The sequence below is a fragment of the Homo sapiens genome, chromosome 8 (genome assembly GCF_000001405.40).
Source record: "Homo sapiens chromosome 8, GRCh38.p14 Primary Assembly".
Classification (NCBI taxonomy): domain Eukaryota; kingdom Metazoa; phylum Chordata; class Mammalia; order Primates; family Hominidae; genus Homo; species Homo sapiens.
The window spans coordinates 49,909,512-49,931,203 of record NC_000008.11 but is presented as its reverse complement, the minus strand read 5'-3'; the positions used below and the strand labels follow the sequence as shown (position 1 = coordinate 49,931,203).

The following is a 21,692-nucleotide window of genomic DNA, read 5'->3' as shown; positions in this document are numbered from 1 at the left end:
AGTTCCTGTTGCTCTGCATGTATATCAGAGCTTGTTACATTTAGTAATTTTGTTTGGTCTATCTGTTTTTATGGCTTTAATTTGCATTTCCATGAGAATCAGTAAGGTTGAACACCTTTTCTTTATGCAACATTTGGGTTTCCTCTTTGGGGAATTGCAAAGTCTTTTAATAGTTTTTGCCTTTGAAATGTATCTTTTTCTTATTGCTTTAGGTAGGCTTACTTTTTGATCATTCTTAATTGTTGTGTGACATTAAAAGGTGTCTATTTTATATGTATCATTTGCTATAGATGTGTTAATGTATATATTGCTGGTATCTAAACAAAGTTTATTTTTTAATTTTCATATTTCATGCAGCATTTTTTCAAGTGTTCTTACTAATATCTTATTTATAAATTTTGGGAGCATCGCTGTGTGCAAATATTGGAAAGTATGGCAGGTGTCTTTGTATTCCTTTCTAACAATTAAAATGTTTGTCAGTTATTGTCGTTAATGTGCTTACTGTGGTGGAAAAGACTTTCAATGCAATATGGAAAGGAAGTGGTTTTACTGGTGTTCTTACTGTGTTCCTGGTTTCAAATAGAAAATTTCCAACATATATAAATAAAGAATGATGGTTTCTGTAACATATATATATATATACACACACATATGTATAATATGTACATATGCTACACACACATATATATATACACACATATATATTATATATCTCCTTCATCAGATTAAGAAAGTCCTCTTTTATTTCTAGATTGCTAGATTATTAGATGTTATCAGGAATTTGAATAATTTTTAATTAGTTAATAAAAATCTATATATTGAGGTTATAGTATGATTCTCACAATCTATTAATAGTGCTAATTGCTTTATTACTTTTTGAATAGAATAACCTTGCCTCACTGATATAAATGTAAAAAAGGCACCAAGAATGATTTTTTTTACTATTCCTGGATGTGGTTTTCTATTTTATGTATTGTCTTTCTCATACTATCTCTTGTTATGTTTTAAATTCAAAATTTGATAACCTTATAAAGTTCATGGGAGACTTCTTTTTGTCCTCATCTCCAAGATATTTTTTTCTTGGCTATTTAGTATAAATTGTTTTCGAAGCAGTCTGGACTTGTAGTTTATTTATGTTTTTCTAACAATTAAATTATTACTTCAATGCCTATAAGGCTTTTTTGGTTTTGTTTTGTTTTAGTTGTTTACTTGTTTTGTTATTTTGGTTTTCTGCCTCTTGAGGAAACACTCACTCATAGGTGGGAATTGAACAATGAGATCACATGGACACAGGAAGGGGAATATCACCCTCTGGGGACTGTGGTGGGGTGGGGGGAGGGGGGAGGGATAGCATTGGGAGATATACCTAATGCTAGATGACGAGTTAGTGGGTGCAGCGCACCAGCATGGCACATGTATACATATGTAACTAACCTGCACAATGTGCACATGTACCCTAAAACTTAAAGTATAATAAAAAAAATTAAAAAAAAATAAGCTAAAACAAAGGGCTGAGTTGCTCAACCATAAATCCGTGATTCAGGGATCTCATCCAGTGTCAGGCCTCCCTGATAAAGCTACTGACACCTGTCACCCAGCAGCACAGGCTGGGATGGGAGGGGGGCAGCCCCCCAGGTGCGTCCTTCCGGCCTCACTCACTGGGTCAGAGGATGTCCCTGAGTGGGATGCACAGATTACCTCACAAAAGACCTCCATTTCACAGCCCAGAAAGTTGCATCGTTGCTATGACATTCTTCGGGGAACCCATAATCAATCCTAAATCAGGGATGGCCTGCACAAGCTCTACATAGATGCGGGCTTGCCTTCTCCGCCTAGCAAGTACCATTGAGTAAGAGGCCAGTGGCTGCATATTTAGGAAGAGATTCAGATGAGTCACTGGCCTTTATCATGTCCTCAGGAGAGGAATGAATCCCATGCCCCCTGCTTTCATCCTTTCCTCTCCAATGAATTATATTTTTCTAGGAATTTATAAGTTGAAAATAAAATTTCTAAAATATTGATGGGAAGTGGTTGTCAATATACTACTAACTTTTAAATAAATGTTATCTTGATTTTATTTTCTTTATTAGTTATTTAAGTCCTCCCTTTTTCTTGATGTCCTACCATAATTTGTTCACATATAAATCTATTGAAAAGCCAGCTTTTTCTTTGTTTTCCTATACTACGTTTGTGTTTGTTTTCATTAATTACATTCTTATATTAATTATAGCCTCTTGTCCAATTCCACTGTGATTATTTTTAGATTTATTTAAAATTTTTGACATGGATGCTTAGTCATCTTTATTCTTTGTTTCTTTCCAAAAATATATTTAAGGCTAGAGAATTACTTATAAATTATGCATGTCCTAAACAATCATATGTATAACATTTTATTACTTTTTTGTTTAAAATATTTTCTGATTTAAAAAATATTATTTTTTTTCTTGCACTGGGGAAAAGTATTTCTTAATTTTACAAACAAGAAAATTTTCTAATTTTTAAAAAATTAAATATACTATTTTTTAAAGCAGTTTTACATTGACAGCAAAATTGGGCAAAATGTGCAGAGAGTTCCTGTATAGCTCCTGCGCTGCCACACCCACAACCTAGCCTACTATCAACATTTGTTGCACACCAGCAGAGTAGTGTATTTATTACAGTCTAAGAATCTCTGGCCGGTCGCGGTGGCTCACACTTATAATCCCAGCACTTTGGGAGGCCCAGGTGGGAGGATCACCTGAGGTTAGGAGTTCGAGAGCAGCCTGGCCAATATGGCAAAACCCTGTCTCTACTAAAAATAAAAAAATTGGCTGGGCACGGTGGTGAGTGCCTGTAGTTCCAGCTACCTGGGAGGCTGAGGCTGGAGAATCGCTTGAACCCAGGAGGCAGAGGTTGCAATGAGCGGCTGATATCACACCACTGCACTCCAGTCTGGGGGACAGAGCTAGACTCTGTCTCAAAAAAAAAGAAACAAAAAAACTGCATGGACACATCTTCACCCAAAGTCCATCTTTTTTATTTTTATTTATTTATTTATTTATTTATTTATTTATTTATTATTTTTTGAGACAGAGTTTCACAGAGTCTCACTCTGTTGCCCAGGCTGGAGTGCAGTGGTGTGATCTCGGCTCACTACAACCTCCGCCTCCCGGATTCAAGCGATTCTCCTGCCTCAGCCCCCCGAGTAGCTGGGACTACAGGTGCACGCCACCATGCCCAGCTAATTTTTGTTACTATTATTTTATATTTTTAGTAGTCAAGGGGTTTTACTATGTTGGCTAGGCTGATCTTGAACTCCTGACCTTGTGATCTGACCCCTCAGCCTCCCAAAGTGCTGGGATTACAGGCTTGAGCCACCACTCCCAGCCCCAAAGTCCATCATTTACATTATGGTTCTCTCTAGGTACTGTACATTCTGTGGGTCTGGACAAACATATAATGACTTTTGTCCACTATTATAGTGTCATACAGTTTAGTTTTACTGTGATAAAAATCTATGCTCTGCCTACTTATCCCTCCCTCCCCCTAATTTCTGGCAATCAATAATTTATTATGATTTTTATATTTTTTACTGTCTCCATAATTCTGCCTTTTCCAGAATGTCATATAGTTGGAATAATATAATATGTAGCCTTTCTAGGTTAGCTTCTTTCACTTAGTACCATAATATTTAAGTAACTTAATATTTAAAATATATTCTCAACTTCTTAAGTAAGTTAATATTAACATATATTTCACATATAGTCCATGTCTTTACATGGCTTAATAACTCATTTATTTTAACTCATTTATTTTAGTATTCCCTTACCTGGAAGTACCAGAGTTTATGTATTCATTCATTTACTGCAGAATATTTTGATTACTTCCAAGCTTGGTATTATGAATAAAGTTGCTATAAATATTCCTGAGCCAGTTTTGCTGGACGTAAGTTTTCAAATAATTTGAGTAAATAACAACAAGTGTGATTGCTAGATTGTATGCTAAGAGTATGTTTAGTCTTGTAAAAAAGTCCCCAACTGTATTCCACGTGGCTCTACCATTTTGCATTTCTACCAGCAATGGATAAGTTTCTGTTTCCCCACATTCTTGTCAACATTTTGTATTGTCAGTGTTTTAGATTTTGGCCATTCTAATTTTCTAATTTTTTTGTTGTGCAGTGGCATCTCAATGTTGTTTTAATTTGCAATTTATTAATGACATAAGGTGTTGAGCATCTTTTCATATGCTTATTTGCCACCTGCATGTCTTCTTTGGTGAGATGTTTGTTAAGGTCCTTTACCGATTTTTTAATTGGTTGGTTTATTTTCCTATTGTTGGGCTTGAAGTGCTCTTTGTATATTTTAAATAACAGTCTTTTATTAAATATATCCTTTGCAAGTATTTTCTCCTTTTCCATAGCTTGTCTTCTTATTCTCTTGACATTGCCTTTCACAGAGGAGATATTTTTAATTTTAATGAATTTAGCTTATCAATTATTTCTTTGAAAGATTATGCCTTTGATGTTACATCCAAAAAGTCATTGCCATACCAAAGGTCATCTATATTTTCTCTTATGATATCTTCAAGGAGTTTAGTGGTTTTGAATTTTACATTTGGATGAATGATTCACTTTAAGTTAATTTTTGTCAATACTGTTAAGGTCTATGTCTAGACTCATTTTCTTTGCATGTGAATGTTCAGTTGTTTCATATTTATTTGTTGAAAAACTCTAGTTATTTTTAATTAATTTATGTTTAATTAAATTGTATTGATATAACATCATGGTGTTTGAAATTTAATCATTTGAAGTTCAGCATAGTTTTCTTTATGGCACAATATATGCTCCAGTTTTTATAAATATATTTGTGAACTTCTAAAAAATATAAATTGTAAAAAAATTATACTTGTACAAATTGTGTGTAGATTTTTTGTTACCTTTCACAAACCTATTTATTTTTTCGTAATAGAACATATGGGTAATTATAAAATCAAGTAAATATGACATTACCTAGAACCTCTTCTTAGAAAATCGATACTTGTGTGGGAAGTTTATTGATTTGTTTAAATTTTACATTAATTTCTAGAACCTTATTATTGTTTTACAGTATTATATATCTGAAACTAATAGAGAAAAGGCAACCAGTAAAAAACCATCACCCACCCATGAAAACCAGAGTTTAAAACTTAGGATGACCGATTCAAGTCATTCTCTAGTACCTGGTCTACCTACCTTCTCAAAATATATTGTTATTACGTCCTATTAAGTGATCAAGTGTGCTCATAGGGAGATATTCCAGTTCTCTATTACTGAATAACAATTACTTGTACATGAATATTCATAGCACCTTTATTCACAGTAGCCCCAAACTGAAAGCAACCTAAATGTCCTTCAATCACTAAATGAGCAAACAGATTGGAAAAGCTGGAATACCACAAAATACTATTTAGCAATTAAAATGAATAAACTACTGGCACAGGCAACAACTTGGATAGTTTACTCTGAGTGCAAAAAATGGATCTCAAATGCTACATACCATATGATTCCATTTATGTAACATTCTCAAAATGACAAAATTGTAGAGATAGAGAGCAGAACAGTGGTTTCCAGGGTAGCTGGGTGTGAATCACACTGTACCAGATAAACCAAGGAAGTTTATTTGTGGTGCTAAAACAGTTGTATATCTTGATTGTGAGAGTGGTTATACAAATCTATGTATGGGATAAACCACACAGAACTCCACACACACAGCGACAGACAGACAGACAGACAGACAGACAGATACACACACACAGGCAAATTAGTTCAGGTAAAAACTGGTGAAATCTAAATAAGGCTATAGTGTATTTGTCAATACTGTATAATATCAATTCCTGGTTTGGGTATTGTATTACAATTATGTAAGATGTTATCATGAAGGAAGTTGGAGAAGTTTTCATGAGAAATTTATGTCTGCAACCTTCTTTCAGTTTATAATTAAAGTAAAAAGTTAAAAGACAAGTAATTATTTAAATATAACATAACTGTGCATAGCTGCATCTGTAATTTGTTTATTTTATTTATTTACTTTTTTAGAGACAGGTACTGGTTCTGTTGCTTAGACTGGAATGCAGTGGTATGATTATGGCTCACTGCAGCCTTGAACTCCTGGGCTCAAGCAATTCTCCTGCCTCTGCCTCCTGAGTAGCTGTAACTGCCAGCACACACCACCACATCCGGATAATTACTTTACTTTTTGTAGTGATGGGGGGGTCTCACTTTGTTGTCCAGGCTGATCTCGAACTCCTGGCCTCAAGCGATCCTCCTGCCTCAGACTTTCTGAGAGTTGGGATTACAGGTATTAGCCACTACACCTGGCCAATAGCTGCATCTACGAAGGGAATTCAACCATGATTGAATATCATTTGAGAAGTCAAGCAAGACTTACAACTTGCCTCTTCTCTTGTTTCTCAGCATCCTAGATTGCTCATTTGCCCTGAACTATGGTTACATACAGAGGTACCCATTAAACATTATTCAACTTTTCTTTAGCCTTTTTGGAGTATCATCATGAAATAAAACATAATTAATGTCTAAACTCCCTCATAAACTAAATTTGAAACTTGAAACAAATTGCAGACATTCTGAGGGTCAGCTTCCTAACCTGATCATCTGTGAGTACATTTCCAAAGCCAGCTTATAGTGATATCACAATGCTATGTTAGCCCGGCTCTGCTCACTTCTGGAGGTTGGTAACTAAACTTGGTTTTTAAAACAAATTTTTACTGCATTATTCTGCATACTGAGGTGGCATAGTAATACTTGTACAAACAGGAAGTGTGGGTTATTATCTGTATTTGCCCCTGATCATTGGTATTCTGACCACCTGACATTGAAATTTAGTTGTGGTAATGCCAGCAAAGCAAGTGTTGAACACAGATTTTCTAACAAACTTTTTTTCCTCTATAAAGTACATATACCTTTCTTTATGAAAGTCATAATAATTTAAGTGGCTGAAATACTGTATTTTCAGATACTACCGGTGAAACTTATTTTATAATTCTATATATTGTTGAAATTTAAGAGTTTTCAGCTTTGATACCCTATTAGTTACATATCTAAAATTGTACTGGGCTAGCAGAGCTAGTTGATAGACTAACCCTATTCATTAAAAATTAACCTGCCTTAAAATTTCCTTCAGAATGTCCTAGAAAATTAAAAAACCACTGGTATTAACAAAAACACATTTATTGCTTTAGCAATCCAAGATATAGGTCTAATGATGTTCTTTAATGTCTTGATTCAGTATCATCTGTTAGATATTTATTGCTAATTCACTTTATAACATACTTTATTAAAAGTCATTAAAACTTGCAGCTGCATCCCATAATTATTTCCCAAATAAAGACAGCATTTATAAATGATCTCCTTGTTCAAAACACTGCCATACAGCTCACAAACTCTTTGTTGGAAGCCAGAGAGCTTTTATTCTTTACAAAAAGATATGCTAAGTAACTCATCAGATGCCAAGCCTTTTTTTTTTCTCCTTATTGGATTTGTTCCAGTTGTTTAAATTCCATGTTCATTAGGAGCAGTTATAATATAGTCTGAGATTGATGCTCAAAACTTTCATGTATTTAAGTGCCATCTTCCTCCTAGGACTCAATGTCTTAACATGTATCCTTTATAAACGTGAAAAGGCTGAGTAATTTGGCTTCATTACAGTGAAGATCTTATGCAAATGTTCTGGAAGTACACATTGAAGGAAGAGACTGTATTTCATTTGGAATTTTGTTAATTCTCCTCAGAAGAAAATAGGCTATTGAAGACTTTATATGCTTATAAAAATAATGTAAATAATTTCTAGGCTTCATTTAATTGATTATTCTACTATTAGGCCTATTTTATCCATATTTTCCCCTCCCAAAAATGTTTCACAGAAATAAAGATTGGGTAAGATTTGAAGGAATTTTATTTTTTAACAAAATCCCAACATTGAATTATACATAGTAGAATTGTTTAGTTCTCCAAACAATTTTATCCATTCGTAAGCATGACTAGGAAATCTTTGGTATTTGTCAGTGTTTTTGACAATATCTCCTAAAAACAAGGTGGGATATCTTTGAGTTATTCGGTAGAATGGTATGTAGTAATATGCATATATTGCTTGAAATATGATTCATGAGACCTAAGAAAAAGGGCCTTAAACAATTCTTTCAGTTGAATTTCCAGATATTTCAGGTGGAATATCTACCACAGCAGGAAATAGCAGTAATTAATAAAGTAGACACGAATCATTACATTTATCAGTACATTTATGGAGAAAAACAGGAGAAGAGTTAAAACCAAAACCAGTTACATGTAGTAGGTTCATTTACATCCAAGTCATTGATTTTTTTAGTTGACAGAAATAAATTATCCCATTTCACAAACAGGACCAGGATAAAAATAGCAATGGTCAGTACATGAAAAAATAAAAGATTTGATTATTTCACAAAGAATACTTTTATACAACTCTAAAACCAGATAATTATTCATGACCATGGGTTGTTAACTTGCCTATTATTGCCAAATATACAGATGATGATATAGGAATTCCATCCAGATAATGGCTGACAGCATTATCTACAGCTTTTAAGGGTAGGGATCATCTCCTTTGTCCCTCCTCCCTTCTCCACAGTGATAAACACCTCCTCACCCTCCATGGGTTAGCTTCACAAAGGCTCAGTGACTCCATACTTCACTGTGACTCAATGTAAATGCTCCCATTAATGCTCTAAACTGTCTGCCCTCATCAGTGGTGAGGGAATAAATTGCCCACTGTTTGGTGGTACATTAATTCTTTTGGGTTACTGAGGAGCTTTTTAGTGCACTGAAAAGGTAATTTGCTGAAATGCCCACTAGTGGTTTAGAAAACTTAATTGGCCTCCAGAAAGTAGATAATTCACTCCTCTAGTACCAAGAAAAAAGCCAGGCAATTATCTGGAGAATCTGAGTGATTGAGAGAGAAATTTGAGTATCAGACAAAAGCAAACTTCTGTTTGCCTGAACTCGGGAAATTCCTGTTGTTCTGATGGAACAGACAGGGCCAGTTTATCTTCCAGGTCATTGAGCCGCAGTGAGATATAAAGTCTACTAACAAAGTTTAGATGGGTCTGCAGACCCCTTGTATGCATTCTTCATGCTCCAAAATTTCTTTTAGAAAAATATGAAAATTTTACACAACATGAAAAGCAGAGAAGGCAAATCACGTAGAAGAGAATATAATAGGATGATAAAATAAAAAGAGACACCGTTATCTGAAATGGATGTCAGCCTTTCAAGTAAAGTCAACACTACCTTACATGTTCCAAGTGGAGAACTCAGTCAATTCTCAGTGGCTAAAACAAATGAGCAACTATTGACTATTTTATGTGTATATTTTATGCATATTTTACATGATCACTTAAAATTGAATATATAATGAGGTGGAGAAAAGAAAACTTTAAACAGATGTCTTCCCAGGTAGTATGTGTATCTTTTTGGTTGACTATACTCTCATTTATAATTCCAATCACTAGACCTTAATCACCACAGACAGACCTGATCTGATCAAATGCAACAAAGCACTCATATTCCCAGAAATGCAGCATCACCTAATTCTAAAGCAGGCTGTAAACCGGAAGCAATAAGGGAGATAACACACATTGTCAGCAATAATTCTGCAGTGCTTTTTCCTTGTCACAAAATCCCTTCTGATCCCTACTATCTTCCTAGAATGAACGTGATCTTTCTACTGTCTATCCTTGATTTGATCTTGAGGATCTGACAGTCCAAACATTATGTTAATCGTTTTTCAGAAATCGTTCTCTCCAGGATGCCCTGTGATCTGCTTTTGAGCAAACCCAAAGGAACCTCAAACATCCATTCCTTTCACTTCTGTGCAGTATCAACACTGTTAACCATGGTATGTTTGTTAGAACTCCATGCATTTTCCTTTATACCTTTCCCCTACACTTTCTACGACTCTTTTATGACCTTCTTTTCTCTTATTTTTTTCTTACTTTTGAAAGATATTTATGTCTGTAAACAATTGTTTTTCTTTTATTCTCTCAAATAGCTAATAAATTTTCATAGCTTTAGCAGTAATCTCCACTTCGGTAGCTCTGAGTTAGATAGGTCAGGTTTTACCCTCTTTCTAAAATTAATGGGTTCTTCACCTGCATTTGGTTGTTATGTCCTCTCATTATCCATTTGACATGTCCCATGTCAGATATCACATCTTTCCTTCCAAAGAAGCGTATTTCACACTTACATATGTGAGCATTTACCTAGTACACAAAAACACTATCTCATTTGGCCTCCTCCTGATTCTTGTTTTATTTGATAGCGGCATCACTAACATCTAGTCATTTAGTTTTAATAGGCTAATTTCTAACCTTCACCCAATTAGGTCCAGCTCTCATCATCTCAAGTCTGAATTCTGCAATAGAATCAACTCTGGTCCACCATGGTTCCCTGAAGCTTGTAAAATATGACTTTCAACATGTGATTATGCTGTCCAAAAACCTCTCTGTTTGTATAAGATTAAGATCAAGATAACACATGAACCCTTCAAGATTCTTGAGAATCTAAACGCCTCCAGTTACTTAGTTAGTAAAACTAAAGTCAATGAAATTCAGCTGTTCTGTTTGTTGTTGTTGTTGTTGTTTATTTGTTTTTTTATTTATTTACTGCAATCTAAAGCAAGTCAAGCCTATAATAGGTGTTATAAGAAGAGAGGCAGTTTTTCTTCCTAAACCACTTATGAATAGAAAAGCATTAAATATTGATCCTAAATCTCAATTTTGACTTAATCTATAGAGAAGCATTTAACTTTCCTGGAGCTTGATTGTCCCATTTGCAAAACAGGAATGAAAAAGTCAGCTTCCTAGTCCTGCTGTGAGAATCACATGAGATTCCCTAAAACAGGACTCTAACAATCATGTATAACACATAGAATGTGAGAAAATAGTATTACGAACGGAAACTAAAGTGTAGGGTTACATTTTCCCAAATGCATTTATTATGCCCTATGAAGACTTTATACTGAAACTTCTAGTTCCAACTTCAAGGAGATTTCTTGGAAAAGAACACAATATGGAAAATAAAAGCAAATGACTTAGGTAGATAATGGACATATTTTAGTTTTCTCTAATCGCTTAAAAGGATTCTTAAGTTGAGAAAAAGATGTGTTTGAAGAGAAAAATAAAGTTAATTTATGAAGTTAATGAATTGGACAAACTACCACAATCTGACTTACTTTGACTCTAAGTGTGCGCTATTGTATTACTCTTGATTGGCTCATCTATAATAATGGTGTAAAATGTACACAAGTAGATTAATCTACTTTCGGGAGTTTTACTTCTTCAAGATTAAAACCAGACCAGGAAAACAAAAGGGAAATAGTCTAGCTAAGCTGGAACAGGCTCCACCATGTGTTAAATAAGGAAATATCATTTAAAACTACTGAAAAAAGTCACCAAATATAGAAAAAATAACTGTTCTGGAATAACTATTTTTTTATCCCCAATGATTTTTTAATCCACTTGTGTGTCCTTTTCATATTATTCATTTGTTAATAATATAGTAAAAGGACACCCACAAAACTTTGATATGTTAATTACATTTAAAGTCAAACATTTCATCTTAAGACATTCTTTCCTTAGGAAAAAAAAGCTTTTAGAGAAACAACAAGCCAATGAGCCCACTTTTGCTGAGTATTCCCTCAGCAGTAGATAAATTCAGTGACTTAGAAATCTTGGGTAGATTCTTCACTAGCATTGTAGAGGACAAGTGTTGTTCTTTTCTATCCTTTAATGTAGTCTCCCCTTTCACTGAAAACTGCACTATGCTAGTCATTTGTGTTCTGGGAAGAGGGAATATTTGCAGATATTAGTCAATAACTAATACCCCTCAATCAGTGTGGTTTTGTAAAGCCCATCCTACTTCAAGATCCAGCCCAATATGTAATATTCCCTTGGTCAATCCCAGTACATCTACTGGAACTATTGAGGAAGTGAACTGGATTTGGGAAGGAAACACTGTAGAACTATAACTGGTAAGGAGGTGAGTAAGACAGAGAAAGAGATGAAGAAGAGAGGGGGAGAAAAGAGACAGACAGAAACAGAAACATAGACAGGAGTGAGGGAGAAAGACAGTGAGAACAGAGAAAGAGGCAAATGTTATCACGTAGGCAAACCGTACTTTGGAATGAAGACAACACTGAAGAATGCGGATAGTATTTGAACACTTTAATCAAGCCATACCTGCTATAATCTGCTACTGCATAAGCCAGTAATTCTCTTTTGCAAATATATTTTTTATTTAGTTGCTTATTTGGATTAAGCCACTTTAAGCTGGGATTTTGTCACTTCTAGCAAAAAAAGAAATTAAAATATACAAATACCAATTAGGCAAAATAAGCTCCTTTTTTTCCATCAATAACTGCAGAATTGTTTTTCCCTTTGGCACAGTCACTATTAACAAGGATTAGAAAAGAAGAAATTACAAAAAAAAATTGCCATATATCAAACCAAAGCATAATCTTATCCATCCCTGTGTTTGTGCGGTTGTGTGGGTGTGTGGACTTACATCACCGAACATACAATAAGACATCTGCCTCCAATTTGTGAAATCCAACAGAATATTCTATAGAGTGTGTTATAATTTGCTGATGAAATGTAAAAAATAACTTTCTAAAGAAATTATCTGTTTTTACACATATGAGTAGGCACAAAAGTAGAAAATTTGTATTCTGGGAAGAAGGGATATTTGCAGATATTAGTCAATAACTAATAATCTTTTCTTAGTCTCACTGTTAATCAAGGTTATTATCTGGGTTATTGTAGCTGTTGCATGTGTATGAGGGGCAAAAACAGTAGCTGGAAAAGATGCTGGAATAAAACATATTATGTAATATTATTGACCTATCTTCATTCCTATTTGTTCTATGAGTTAATTTTTCCCCACAAAACTTTTGCCCATTCAAAAACATGAAGTATCTATTTTATCTCAGCCACTCATTATTTTTTAGGTTTATTTATTTTAAAATTGTAAAAACATATTAAGATGAACCTTTTCATCAAGTCGTGGTTCATTGTCTCATTTCTAGATAAAAACAAAAAGGTCTGGAAAAAATCTGACTGAATATCTCAGTTTAGGGTTTCTATTAAATGTCATTGAAATGGGAAACGAAAAGGTTCGGCAGCTATGTGTGGAATCTAGCATGTAGTCTGTTTCGCTACATGCAAAATTTTAACAATGAAATTAGGTAAAGCAAAAAGTAGATTTCACACAAAATTCTCTATTTTCAGTTCTCACGTTTTGTTCTAACTGAGCAGAGCTGAGTCGAGGACTCTTGACGGGCTCACTTTCTGCAGTGTGATGCAGATCTCACTGGCTAGCCTCCCTCCTTACATGAACTGCCTGCACCCTGAGGGCATTTGAATTTACAATCTATGCAAAGAGATATAGGTTTGAATAAGAAAACAGAAAAGGGAAAGTCTAGAACAAAGCATTAACAAAAGAACTATGTGGTGATGAGGATAGTATGTTTGGAAGAGAATATAAAGCATGGGGGATTTATCTGGAGAAATGAGAGAGCGGTAGTTGATCAGAGCCATGTGCATAGACTAGTCTAACAGGCTAAGTCATAACACTCACCAGCTTCAACAAATCCCGGTCAATGTACTAGCCATTGTATACAATTTGCTCATTAACTGTTCCCAGCAACACACTGCAGTGGACATCAGACTTAGAGACTTCACATTCCTTGCCCAAGTTTTTGTCATTAATGCCATTTCTATAACAGGATTCGAACTTAAGTCTGATTCTAAATCCCATGTATGTTCCACCATGAGAGCACGGAAACATTTTCAAGAAGAATGGCATGACAGATGTGGAAGGAAAGTTTATGAGTTCAACTAAACATAGACATTGTTTATTTTCTCATGGACATAATAATGATTTACCAATAGGACCAAGGATATAGCTGAGCAGTTAAATTAAGATAAAGTGATTTACCCAAGTCCACACAACCAATTGATGACAAACCATGTTGAACCTCAGATTTTGTGTGTACTGGATGCATTTTTAACCATAAAATACTCTTTTCTCATCTATGATCTAAATTTCTTAATCTCACATACTTATTTCTCACCCCTTGAAAAGATTCAAATAAAATTTATTATTTTTAATATATATATTTTTTTGAGATAGAATCTCATTCAGGCTGGAGTGCAGTGATGTGATTATATCTCACTGCAGCCTCAAACTGCTGGGCTCAAGTGATCCTCCTACCTCAGCCTCCTGAGTAGCTGAGACTACAGGCACATTCACCACACCCAGATATTATTTTTTTATTTTTTATGTTTTTTTTTTCTATTGAAGAAACGAGGTCTCACTGTGGTGCCCAGGCTGGTCTTGAACTCCTGGCTTCAAGTGATCCTCTTGCCTCGGTATCCCAAAGTGTTGGGATTATAGGCATGAGCCACTGTACTTGGCCTTTTCATAGTTTTATATAAGTAACACATTATTGTTCAAATTTTGGCACCATTTCTAAAAGATTTCTATTTTCTATTAGCTTATTTAGTGAATTTACCAGGCAAGCACTTATTCTTTTAAAAAACTAAATCTTAGACCGAAATTGTGAGTAAATTTGTTAAACATAGAGCATATAATTACTTCACAATTTTTAATTTTAAAAATATCTTCAAGTATGTACATTACATATGATGAAGTGATAATAAGCAAGTATTCAAATGAATTGATTTAATGACACTCTTTTTGAAAAAAAATATAACATGATCACTTTATCTTTGCTGACAAATTGAAGACCAAATTCAGGAGACCCAAAATGATTTTCTGACTCTTTCAGTGTGTAGAATGTGCTGAAGAAACTTCACGGTGAAAATTTAAGGATAATTCAAAGATAAATTCTCTGGCCTCAAGACATTATTTTAATGACCTCTTACTCTCAGTTCTTTTTCATTTTATGTTTTTGACTGTTTCTGGGTTTTTGTGTGTGTGTGTGTGTATTTGACAAAAAAAAATCTGAATTATATTACTAAGTAAGTGATGATATAATTTTTTATCGCTGGTGCAATTATATAATTTAACCACAAAACAATGCTGGAAATAACTGTAACACCAAACATTGACTTATATTTCCTAAGAATACTGTCAGTATATTTTTAGTGATAGTCTAGAAATCTATACAGACCAAATGTTGATAAATTACATTGAAAAAATCATAGTGACGTTTAAAACCCGACTAAGAAAAGCAAATAAGCAATGAAATACTGCTTATTCGATTTTCTAAAGAGATGTCCTAAAGAGGCCTATGAATAAAATCTAGGCTTTCGACTAAATCAAAACAACATCTTAACAGCATTTCCAGGCTAGCCCCTTAGATCAGCCCGCATGTTGTCCACATTTCACTCCATGCTCACAAGCCAGCAGTCAAATCACAATGCTTTCTGTATGTTTTAGGATATGGAGTTTTGAAGTGTATTTCATCGTATGAGTTTCCTTATCAATATCACTAATGACAAACATTAATCCTCCTTTATAAACTAGAAAATTATGACACGACATGATAGATTCTTTGAAGGTCAAAATGAAAGTTGTTGAAATAGACTCAGGTCAACTAAGTTTGTCCAATTGATATAGAATGTGGTGTCAGTTCTGAGTAATAAAATATTTTTGAAACCAAGTCCACCTTCATTGAATATCACTTATATTTATACCATTAAGAGATGTAAAGGAAATGACTGCTGAAGTATCAGGGAAGTATTATATTCCCTATGCTGAGAGTTGTTAAGTATAAGGGATGTGCCTGTTATTTAGTAATTAGTGGGATTTTTTTTGACGAATGAATGAATGCTATTGGAAATTATTTATAATAACTCACAGATATAACACTTGTTTCCAAAACACTCTCAAAATCATTGAATTTCGACTTTCCAGTATCCCACAAAGTAGGCATCATTCACTTATCTCATGAGTGTTCAGGTATCAGCTGTATGTAAATTATTGTGTCTTCATTGAAAAGTAAAGAATCCCCAAATTTAAGGAAGAAAAATTCAGCTGCAGTGGATTGAGTGACTTGTAGAAGATCTTATGGCCAGCAGTTAAAAAATTCTGATCTTTTGACTGTCAAGTAGTACTTGTTTCCCTACAACATGATGTGTAACATGTTTCTTACCACAGGATGTTGTCTCTTCCAACACATGCTATGTGCTCACTCTGCTAAGCTAAATAGGAAGAAAACACCAAATAAGAGATCTCTCTCCATTTGAATTCTATTCTATAACACACTGTACAGATTTCTGGGAAGGTGAGATTACTATGGAAATAATTTCTAGCTTACAATATGCTTTTTTCTTTCCTAGTGGCTTTTGTGTTGCTTAACAGAACTAGGTGAGTAAGCAGGCTAGCTGCTTGGAATTTATAAATCTTTAAGTGGTCAAAAACAGCCAATTACTAAATATTAGCAATAGTCATTTTTTACTTTTATATTTTTTGATAAATGTTTGAACTTGATTGAAACCCAAGTAAATAACTCCAAAGGCAAACTGTGAGCATTAAAATCCAATACGATTTCATGGTATGAATAATTACATTAGAATATACAAGTAATATTTATATAGTCTATGCAAAAATTAATCAAGAAGTGTTTTTATAACATTTTGGAAGAAGGCAATTGAATGGATTCCAGGGCTCATTTTAAATTATCCTCTGGTCCTATATATACTTTACATTTTCTAGATTATGTAATCCCATCTCACCTTTCTCTTTTGAGTCTCAAATGTAAGCAACAGCCAACAACACTTAGTCTTATCCAATAAAACTTTTTTTTTTTTTTTAATGGGGAAAAGATAGTGTGTTTGGTACTCCCAAGACCTCATGCATCCTTTTTCTTTAGCAAAACAAAATAACTATCAAAGCAAATAGATGCCCTTAGTGGGGTACAGATATCCCTTAATAAAATGTTGATTTTTCTTTAAAGACAAGTGATTCTGTGCAATAATGAAGATTGGTTTCCACTACCCCCTTTTTGTTTGTTTGTTTGACTATCTACTTTACAATTAGAGATTAGCATTGGTAGGCATTAAGTTGCTTTCCCAAACTCTATCTCAATGTAAGGACATTTCCCTACAGATAAGGATTGACAAGGGTTTCCATGCAGTTTCATGAGTTTGGGGTGAATTAGAGTTACATATTTCTGTGACTAAATCTCCTAAGGGATTAGGCAAAGGTAACTTTCACTTTGTGAGATTTCAGTTACACATAGAGAAAGCCTGCCCCCTCTGCCCCTGAGGAGGGAACTGCGGCCATATACACAGAGGAGTGCTTCTTGAAACACATTCTCTGCTTACATTTTATGCCCTACTGACTAGGGGAGTCCCTCTGTGTTAATTAATTGACAGCCAAAATAATTGTCTAAAGACATGCTGTAACTCTCTTAAAATATGATTAAGTCTTCCATGTGATAATTTCACTTCCATACCTCTCCCACTGAGGAAAAAAAGGATTGTGTTAAGAGCACATTGTAGGTTTTCTGGGAAGGAATCCAAATCAATAATACATGTTTCTCCTCCTCAGATAATCATTCTTGACCTATATAGGGCAACGGAGCCCCCAAGGAGCTCAGTGACATAGATGCCTCTGCTCCTTTTCTGCTAAGCAAGCAGGTTCATGGTAAGTGGTGACAGTTAAGAATGATTTTTCCTCAGAGTAATTGCTACACTCAGCCAACATAAAACAAGAGGACATCACCCCACCAATGAATGCCACTGTAACGGCCTCCAATGATTTTTGTGTTAAAATTGAGAAGGAAGGTACGTATAGATATGCATTAGAGCCATTTTACTATCGTTACACACAACCAGTGAAATTAAAAGTAAAACCTAAAGATCTCCTGTAATTTTTCAAAGGGGTAGACTCTTTTCACAGAGTTGATTATGAATATCTCATCACATGTATTTACATGACTGTAAAATTCCATCCTTGCAAGTCAAAACTCTTCACTGAACTGAATGTACTCATTGGAATTGATCGGATTCTTAGTGAAATGTCAGGCACGGGTTACAAATTTGTGTAACTGCTTTTGCCCAGTGAACCCTTTTTATTAAAGCAGAATGCTTATCAAGGTCACTGTGAAAGATTGTAATTTTAAAGCTCCAGGGGAAAACTAGAAATAAGAATCAACAGAAAACAGATTTAATTAGCATTTTAAAGTTTATGGTTTTTCGGGAACCTACTGGTCCCTATCACTTTCTGGATTTCACTGACAAATGTATTTTGCAGAACTAATAAGTTAGAATGATTTTGAAATCCAGCTCTCCTAAAGAGGCACACTAAAGCTTCTCATTTTCTGCTTTCTGGCAGATCAGGTTTGAGAAAGCAATCTTGAGCTTTCAAAGGCTGGAAAGAGGGTGCTAAGTAAAAATATGAGTGTCTCCTTACGTAAGATCCTACAGGTGTAGGTATACTTGGAGGTTGGCATGGAGTGAGAAATCTGGTGTATATGTATACATGTATTTGTTCCCATGCATAGTTTAGTATATTATAACAATATAAAATATGTTAGAGGGCATGGTTAAACCCTCTCTATTTTAACTTTTTTAGTCTTGCATACTATGTAACACAGACAGGATCACTTTTTATGGCATACATAAGACAACAAAATTATCTTGCCAAACGATTGCATTAGTTTTGGGAAAAAATAAACAAGATATGCCAGATCCAAAAAGATATTAGATAAGCAATAAGAAAAATGGCCAGCTAAAAGTTTACTGTAATTATGTAAGGCAACATGTATGTTATTTTGATTCTTCTTGTCACACAATGATCCAGAAACAATTATTTTAAAACAAAATTGCTTGTCTCCTCGTTAACCCCAGAAAAAATTACACTGCTTATGATCTTTCTGTTAAACCATAAGACAAGTCATTAGAATTTTAAAAAACAAAAATAATAGCGCTATCACTTACCTGCCGAGCAATGAAATTAGATGTCTTTTCAGTCTCTCTAACGTAGAATTTTGAGTAGCTCTCCACCCTCTTTTCACAAAGCTATTTCCAAAACAGTTGCAATCCACTCAAGACCATTCTGTTTATTTCAAGAAGTGTGGACCTTTGAGCATTTCAACCCCTACCGCACGGCCCATGATTTCTCAGAGCTTCTAAGAACTTCGACTTTACTCTCCTCCAGAATTCCTCCCAGACCCCTATAGAAAAATGATTCTTGAAGTTGCTGCTGAGAGTTTAATCTGTGGAGCAAGAGTACTCCTCAGAGTCCTGTCCTTAGGTACAGCAGGTGTAGAGGGAGGGGTACTTTTCATCCATTAAGGAAGGGGGCCGGGAGGCGAGGGGGTAATAGGAGGCACCGCCTTTTAGCTGCGAGGAGCAAGTAGCCCAGCTGCCCGTGGCGACGACAGTGGCGGCAAGGACAGCGGCGGCGGCAGCGTAGTTCCGTCCCTGTGGCTGCAGCTCAGTCCGGAGACGCTGTCCATCCCCTCTGGTGCTGAAGTAAGGGGACGGGAGCCCCTAAGCGCAGGTCCAGGTCGCACTTTCCTCCACCAGCGAATCCAAGCAGCAGCTTCCTTGTCTTCCGCCCTAGCCTTCTCCCCTCCGGTTCTTTTTTTTTTCTTTTTTCTTTCTTTTTTTTTTTTGTAGGGGCTAATTGTTTCTCCAAATTAACAGTCTCATACTTATTTGGTGACAACGTTTCTGGAAAAACAGGAATCCCTGGGAAATAACATCTGAGCCTCCCCTGACTTTTCAGTGGCCCTGCACGAGTTTCCTAATGCCAGAAATGAAAGAAAACGCACGCACAGGGGCGCGCACATACACGCACGAGAGAGGCAGAGAGAGAGAGAGAGGAAGAGAGAGAAAAAATATATAGATTTGTACCGTGGAAAATCCAGAGCTTCTTTGGAAAGCTCGTGGATCTTTAATTACATAAGATGAAAAGGAATATTTTGGAAAACTCCGCAATCTTGATTACCAATTAAGGGGACCACATTCAAATTTTGAGAAACCCAATTTGAAATTCCTAAATTAAACCCAGTGAAGATTCTTAGACCCTCCACGCGGAAACGATAGGTTATTGTTAAAATTTTAAAAGACAGAGAATGAAAGAATGAAAAAGACAGGAAAAAGCATCTGCACTCGGCTACCTTTTAAAACGCTGCTGAATTGGATCGGGATCGTTGCAGAGCCTCTCAGAGGATCCGGCGAACGCAGCTCCTGTGAGTGTCAGCGCTGAGCTCAGCGAGCAGGCAGCTTGGAGGCCCAGGGCAGTGCTAGCGAGTCGCCCACAGCCTAGGCTCCTGCAGTGGGGGCAGAAAACGGCTTATTTCACAAAGGACGGGATAAAGAAGGCACAAAGACAGTCAGAGGGCTCGACAATCTCTGCCTTTGTAAAGCCAGAGCAAAGCCCAATTTACGTTGTTTTTTTTGTTGGCTTTTCAGCCCATTTTCCCTCTGGTCTCCCACGCTGCCCCCTCGCCTCCCTACTCCGGAATCCGCGCTCTCCCGGGCCTTGCAGGCTCTTCACTCCCGCTCTTGGCAACTGGCTGACAACGAGCATAAAGAAGGGTATGGGTGCGTGGTCCCGAGTGCTGTCACCCAGGGCTCAGCCACCCACACTCGGCAACGGGTGCAGACGCCAGTGAACTGAGACGGGAAGTTGAAATACATAACGTTGAAACTGTTGGAAAACTGGTCAAAACCAGGGCCATGTGGACCTTTGAAACTATGTGGAGTAAAAGGGGAAAATGGAAAGAGCGAGACTGTAACACCGCCCGCCCTTGCAGACTCCTAACTTGTGCAGTGTAGATTTCTGCACAAGGAGGTTATTGATAGACATGAGAGGAAATTCGAGAAAGACTGGTGAGGGGCGCTGGTGTGTGTGGTGGGGACGGGGGTCCGGGAGGGGCGGGGCGCAACACTAATTTCTCCCGGGCTGTGGGAAGGGGCCGGACGCCTGCTCCTGGCCTCCCTTCCCCGGCGACTTCTCAGGTTCTTCTTCCTGTTCTGACACTACAGGGAAGTCCTAGACGTTGTGCTTTCCTCCCACGCTTGCTTCCATCAAGGATTAGAGCGCGTTCCCGCTGGTCTGGAACCATCCATTCCAGGTAGGGGATCTTCCCTCCCGGGGACATTGCGCTCTCCAAGCACCGGCCTGCGGCGCGCGCGGGGGACGGGCGAGGAGGCGGCACAGCCAGTGGAGTTCCAGTGGGCTCCCTGGAGGAGAAACGTTACTGAGCCGGGAATCACTCGGGACGGAAAACCAAACAGGCCGCGTATTTACTCACAGGAAAAGGCCAGACTTTGGTTGGACTTTGAGCCATTTTGCTGCAGCAGCAACGGCTTTATTTCCCTGGGGTGGCCACCAGCCGCCACCGCGGCTCGCGAGCTCCGGCTGGAAGGGGCCGCGCTGTGCTCCGCACATTGCAGGCCGCGGTCGCTGTGTGGAGCTGCACACGCAGGAAACGGTCGCCGTGGAACGAAGCCCTTGGTCAACTTTCTCTAACAGTCTTTTTTAACAGAGGATCTATTAAAGGTTGTGATTCTCTCTAAAACCGTGTTTGGGGAATCCATCTGACCTCACGGAGACACACAAACCTAAAAAGAGAGTATCTGCTGCTTGAGGCTAATTTTTAAGGGGGTCTTTTGCTTTTCAGTCCATGTGAAAACGTTGCTTAAGG

General features: G+C 36.5%; 1 protein-coding gene across 19 annotated transcripts in view, besides 1 other annotated feature; it reads right to left on the bottom strand.

Moving 5' to 3' along the window:
- Positions 1-21,408, bottom strand: part of SNTG1 (syntrophin gamma 1) — an 886,897-nt gene extending 865,489 nt beyond the window's left edge. For 10 of the 19 annotated variants that reach the window (NR_135796.2, NR_135795.2, NR_135797.2 and 7 more), the window contains exon 1: positions 18,973-19,797. The gene's annotated coding sequence lies outside the window, so the exon portion shown is untranslated. Of the gene's footprint in view, positions 1-16,181; positions 16,231-18,972; positions 19,798-20,159; positions 20,557-21,299 lie in introns of those variants that run through there. The other 9 variants (XM_047421897.1, XM_047421898.1, XM_017013582.2 and 6 more) reach the window with 5 other exon arrangements.
- Positions 19,948-20,892: an enhancer, noted in NCBI's record as "H3K4me1 hESC enhancer chr8:50822872-50823816 (GRCh37/hg19 assembly coordinates)". NCBI's record gives its function as "activates a minimal SCP1, AML or CMV promoter by ChIP-STARR-seq in primed H9 embryonic stem cells {active_cell/tissue: H9 hESC(primed)}" and the evidence as "EXISTENCE:reporter gene assay evidence [ECO:0000049][PMID:30033119]".
- Positions 21,409-21,692: the final 284 nt, after the last annotated feature.